Source organism: Homo sapiens, chromosome 13 (assembly GCF_000001405.40).
Source record: "Homo sapiens chromosome 13, GRCh38.p14 Primary Assembly".
NCBI lineage: Eukaryota > Metazoa > Chordata > Mammalia > Primates > Hominidae > Homo > Homo sapiens.
The window spans coordinates 19,019,981-19,026,000 of NC_000013.11; positions in this window are offsets into that span (position 1 = coordinate 19,019,981).

Below are 6,020 nucleotides of genomic sequence, written 5' to 3' on the forward strand. Positions count from 1 at the left end.
AAATAGAACAGAAAGCCCAGAAATGTATACTTACATATATGGTCAAATGACTCTCAACAAGAACGCCAAGACCATATAATAGGGAAAAAGTCATTTGTCAACATATGGCATTGGGAAAACTAAATATCAACATGAAAAAGAATAAAATTGGATCTTTACCTAATACCACATACAAAGTTAAAATGGATCAAAGACTTAAATGTAAAACCTATAAGTATGAAACTCCTAGAAGAAAAGATAAGGCAAAAACTTCACAACATTGCATTTGGCAATGATTTCTTGAATATGACACCAAAAACACAGGCAACAAAATTTTTAAAATAGACAAACTGGACTTCACGAAAATTACAAATTTTGTGCATCTAAATACATTATCAACAAAGTAAAAATGCAACCCACAGAATGGGAGAAAATATTTGCAAATAAAGTGATTAATATCCAGAATATATAAAGAACTTCTAAAACTCAACAACAAACAACAATTTAATACAAAAATAAGCAAAAGTCTTAAAGGAACATTTCTTCAGAGAAGATAGAAAATGGCCAATAAGCACGAGAAGATACTCATTATCACTAGTCATTAGGGAAATGTATATCAAAACTGCATTGAGATACCACTCCACACCCATTAGGATGGCATCTATAAAATAAAATAAAAATAGAAAATAACAAGTGTTGGCAAGGATGTGGAGAAACTGGAAGGCTTCTGCATGGTTAGTGGGAATGTAAAATGGTACAGCTACTGTAGAAAACAGTACGTTGTTTCCTGAACAAATTAAAAATAGAATTAGCATGTGATCCAGCAATTGCACTTCTCAGTATATACTCAAAAGAATTGAAAACAGGGTCTTCTAGAGATTATTTGTACACCCTTATTTATAGCTGTATTAACTCCCAATATCTAAAATGTGGAAGCAATCCAAGCGTCCATGGACAGATGAATAGATAAGCAAAATGTGGTCTACACAGACAATGGACTGTCCGTCCTAAAAAGAAAGAAAACCCCATCACATCTACAACATGGATGAAACTTGAGGACACTGTGCTGAGTAAAAGAAGCCAATCACTAAAAACAAATGCTTTATGATTCCATTTATATTAGATACTTAAAACATTAGTCAAAATCAGAGACAGAAAGTAGAATGGTGGTTACCAGGGGCTGGGGGAGAAGGGAATGGAAAGTTATTGTTTAACGATGGAAAGTTATTGTTTAACGATGGAAAGTTATTGTTTAACGGGTACAGAGTTTCAGTTTTGCAAAATGAAAAGAGATATGGAGATAGATGGTGGTGACGGCTTTGCAACATTATACATGTATTTATTGCCACTGAATGGTAAACTAAAAATGGCTAAGATAATACATTTTATGCTATATCTATTTTTACCACAATTAAAAATTGTGGTGGTGGGGGGGAAAGGTCCTGGGTACACAGTCTTCACTCTTCTAACAGGGAAAAAAAAAAAACAAAAAACAAAAACAAAACTCCTGTTTGTTGAATATTTTTCTCCTCTGATTATATTTTTTCGCAGAAAATGAGAACATATACTTTTACTTTTCAAAATAACTAACACCATGTCACTCATTTCCATAAGCCCCTTACAATTTTTAACCAGAATACAGTATCTTCTCTCCACCTAAGATGCCAAGTTGCTCTGCTCTTTTATAATTAATCACTTAAAATTTACAGGAAATGCTTAAAGCTTGCTTACTAAACTCTGAGAGCCAAGCTTCTATGCAATGTTTGTATCTGGTAGCTAATTCCACTCGCATTAGCAAGGAAGCTTTTGGTGATGACCTATCAAGACTTGCTTTAAATGGTGTTTTTTGTTTTGTTTTGTTTTTGGTGGGGGACAAAGCCTTGAAACAAAGATAAACAGTATATTCTCCACATCTAAGTTTAACACCTGAACAGAGATGACCTCACACTTAACACTTTGCAGTAGTTGGGTTTAAATCTGAAAGTAGTCTGTTGCTAAAAGGGTAATATTTCCCACTTTAATGTGCTTTGATTTACTCTTCTACTGCATTTCAGACAAAACTCTTAGTAGATGATGTTTATCGAGGGAGAGGAAGATAAGCAGGGGTTTACCTTGTTTGCTGTCTACTCTATTAGGAATATCATTGGTTTCCATTAAGTTTGATTCTCTCAGCTACAGCCTAGGACTGAATTTAGCACTTTGGGAAATTAAATTTACTCTTGCAAGCAACTGGGGCACTATTTAGTCAATTACTAATCCAAAGCAATAATGTTAGCTCATAATAGTCTCCAAAATTCATCAGAACAATGAAGTTCTACCCAAGTTGAAATCTGCACAGATACACCTCTCATTTATCACCACAGGTGTCCCCTTATTCCCATCGTCATCCTGTGATAGCTTGTATTCTAAACTAAGAGAGAAACAACCTCGAAATCTAACATCTACTAAATTCTGAGCACTTAATCATAACCTGACACATAGAAAGCTCAGAAAACAAAATGTCAGGCCAGGTGCGGTGGTTCATGCCTGTAATCCTAGCACTTTGGGAGGCCAAGGCAGGTGGATCACTAGGTTGGTACAAGACCAACCTAGCCAACATGGTGAAGGCTTGTCTATACTAAAAATACAAAAATTAGCCAGGCATGGTGAGGTGCACCTGTAACCTCAGCCACTCAGGAGGCTGAAGCAGGAGAATCACTTGAAACCAGGAGGTGGAGGCTGCAGTGAACTGAAATTATGCCACTGAACTCCAGCCTGGGCGACGCAGACTCCATGTCAAAAGAAAAGAAAACAGAAAAGGAGGGGAGGAAAGGAGAGGGCAGGGAGGGGGAGGGAGGAAGGAAAGAGAGGAGAGGAGGGGAGGAGAGGGGAGGGGAGTAAAGGAGAAGAGAAAAAAAGAAAGTGTCAAATGAATTAGTACAAGTTACTGTCCCAGACACAGCAAAGGAGGAGGCTGGAGGCAAAGGCAGGAATGTTGGAGACAAAAAGCATTAAATTGGGTCTGCTCTCAAGGAGCTTGTAATCTGATTCAGATAACGAATCATACATGTAAAAATTAATTAATTTGTGCCACATTTTCTCTATAATCCTCCTCTAGTCCCAAAGAAGGAGAAGAGCCTCACATGTTTAGAAAACAGAAAGAAAATCACTGAGCCTGGCTACAACATAGTGTGGAAGCCGAGGGTAGGAGATGGAGCCAATGAAGGGCCGCAGATGGCAAGGAGCCTATTCATTCTGACAGTCAGAATCCCCTGATAGGATTTAGGAGGCAAATGAAAGCTTGAAAAGTCACTGTAGTTGCCAGTGCAATAATGACAGGAATGGGTGAAAGAGGAAGCAGAGACACCCTTGAGGAAGCTATTGCCTCACACCAGATTTAAAAAAAGCAAAAGGCAATCTGGTCTACAATAACAAAAATGGAGAAAGCCAATGCAAAGGTGATCTATGTTGGAGATGAAGCCCCAACTGCATTTTCAGATAAATCAGATGGTCAAAGTAAGGTAAATACATCAAGTTAAGGGTGTTCTGTAAATGTTTAGATGGTAACTTGTCACCTCTCTACTTGAACCCCAAATGGCACTTCAGAAAAATGGCACCCAGGAACTTCATTTGGACAAATCAATTTTGAGATGCTTATTCACTCAAGTGGTGTTTTCAAGTAAGTAGCTGGACATATGAGTCAAAATTCAGTTCAGTGGTCAGGACTGGAATTAGTAGCATCCAGGAGATTTTCACAGCAATGGAACAATTTAAAGAATAAATGAAGATAGAGAAGAAGTGAGATCTCAAGTCAAAGGCTGGGACACCCCAACCTTTCTGATGCAGGCAGTTTAGGAGAAGCCTACAAAGAGGACTGAGGAGAAGAGGGCAGAGAAGTAGCAGGAAACCCTACTGGAAGCCAAGACTGAGAAGACTTTCAAGGAAGGAACTGTGCCAGATGCTGCTAAGCTGCCACAGAAGAGGAAGAATAAAATGTCAGCTTTGGAAAGATTGAGGTTGTGGATAAATTTGACAAGAGTGGTTTCTATGCAGTGACAGAAACAGAAGCTACATGGCAATGTTTGTAATAGAATTTCAAATCCTACACCACAGCCTGCATGAAAGTGTGACATCCTCTCTCTCACGCAAATTTTTTTAAATCATCAATCCATTAGGGACTTATATTGAGACTATGTAAAAAACTCTTATGACTCAATAATAAAAATACAAACCCAATTTTAGAATGGGAAGAGGATCTAAATAGACATTACTCCAAAAAATATATGTAAATATGTAAATGACCAATATGCACATTGAAAGATAACACAAACCTGTAATCCAAGCACTTTGGGAAGCCTAGGCAGGTGGATTGCTTGAGCCCAGGAGTTTGACACCAGCCTGGGCAATGTGAGGAAACCCCATCTCTACAAAAAAAAAAATTCAAAAATTAGCCAGGTATGATGGCACACACCTGTAGTCCCAGCTACTCAAGACCTGAGGGAGGAGGATCACCTGAGCCGGGAAGATTGAGGTTGCACTGAGCCCAGATCGTGCCACTGGACTCTAACCTGAGTGACAGAGTAAGACTCTGTCTCAAAAAAAAAAATAAAAAGTAAAAGCTAACACAAGTCACTAGAGAAATATAAAGAAAAAACAAAAAAAAACCACTTCACACCTATTACAATGGCTAACATCAAGAAGACAGTAAGTTGGCAGCAATGTGGAAAATCTGAACCCTCATAATGTGCTGCTGGAATATACAATGGTACAGCCACTTGGGAAAACAACTGGTCAGTTTAAGTTCAGTGTAAATGTACCCTATTCCTAGTAATTATACTCCTAGGTATATATACAATGTATGAGATACTAAGGTATATGTCCAGACAAAAACTTGCTCAAGTATGGTCACTGTAGCATTATTCGTAACAGCAAAAAATGAAAACCACAGAATCATCAAGTGATGATTAAACAGGTGATATGTTCATAGAATACTTAATGCTCAGCAATAAAAAGGAGCTACTGATCCACGCAACAAGCCCACTGAGCCTGAGGTGAATTATGCTCAGTGAAAAAAAACTAACTTCAATAGGAAATACACTATATATTAAATTTCTATATCATAATTCAGAGATAAGGGTAATAAAAGCATCCTAAAATTAGATTGTGATGATGGTTATGAAATCATTTTTAAAAATTTAAGACTGTAAATTTACTATCAGTGAATTAAATACTTCAGACAGGTGAATTTTATGGTGCATCAATTATACCTCAGTAAAGCTGCTAAAATTAATCTTTTCACAACAATGAGAAAACAAAGGTTAACAGAAAACAAAACGTGTGTGTTCATGTACATATTATTTTCCCTTTTATCCCTACATTGTGAAGAGTATTCCAACGATATAGGTTATTTCCTTTCTAAAGTCTAAAAAAAAAATTGGCTCCAAAGGGTACCACTCTTTATCATTTTTTCTCTTCAAATGAAATGGCTAAACTTCCCTAAAGGAAGGTGAAATCCTTCTCATTCTCCAAGGGCTCATGTAAATGCCCTCTCCCTCATGAAATTCTTCCTGAACTATAAAGGAATCCAACCCCTAATGAACATTCGCAGCACTTTCTCTGAACCATTCTTACAGCAGGGATGTGAGGCTCTTGCCATGGTCATTTTACAAACTTTTCTCCCTTCCATGAGACTCCGAGCCCTCCAAAGCCATAATGCTTATACACAGTTGTGCATCCCCTCCCCACCCAAAGCTGTGCCCAAAAATGCCAGGCCTATTCAGTGACATTAGGTCATTAATCCTACTCATGATGCTTGGAAGTGGGCGCAGATCTATGATCTTACACAGAAAACAAGTAGCTGATCTGAAAACAAAAAAACAAGTCTCTACTTTTTCAGCTCAATCAACTTTTCTGAGATTATATAAATATCTAAGCAGCCCATAGGAAAATGTCTTACATCATATTCTCAAAGAAAATAAAAGAGAAACCATCAAAGTGTATTAAAATCTAGCAAAACGGGATTAGGAAGCCAGCCAGCTATCAAGGAAGCAAAGCAATCACTA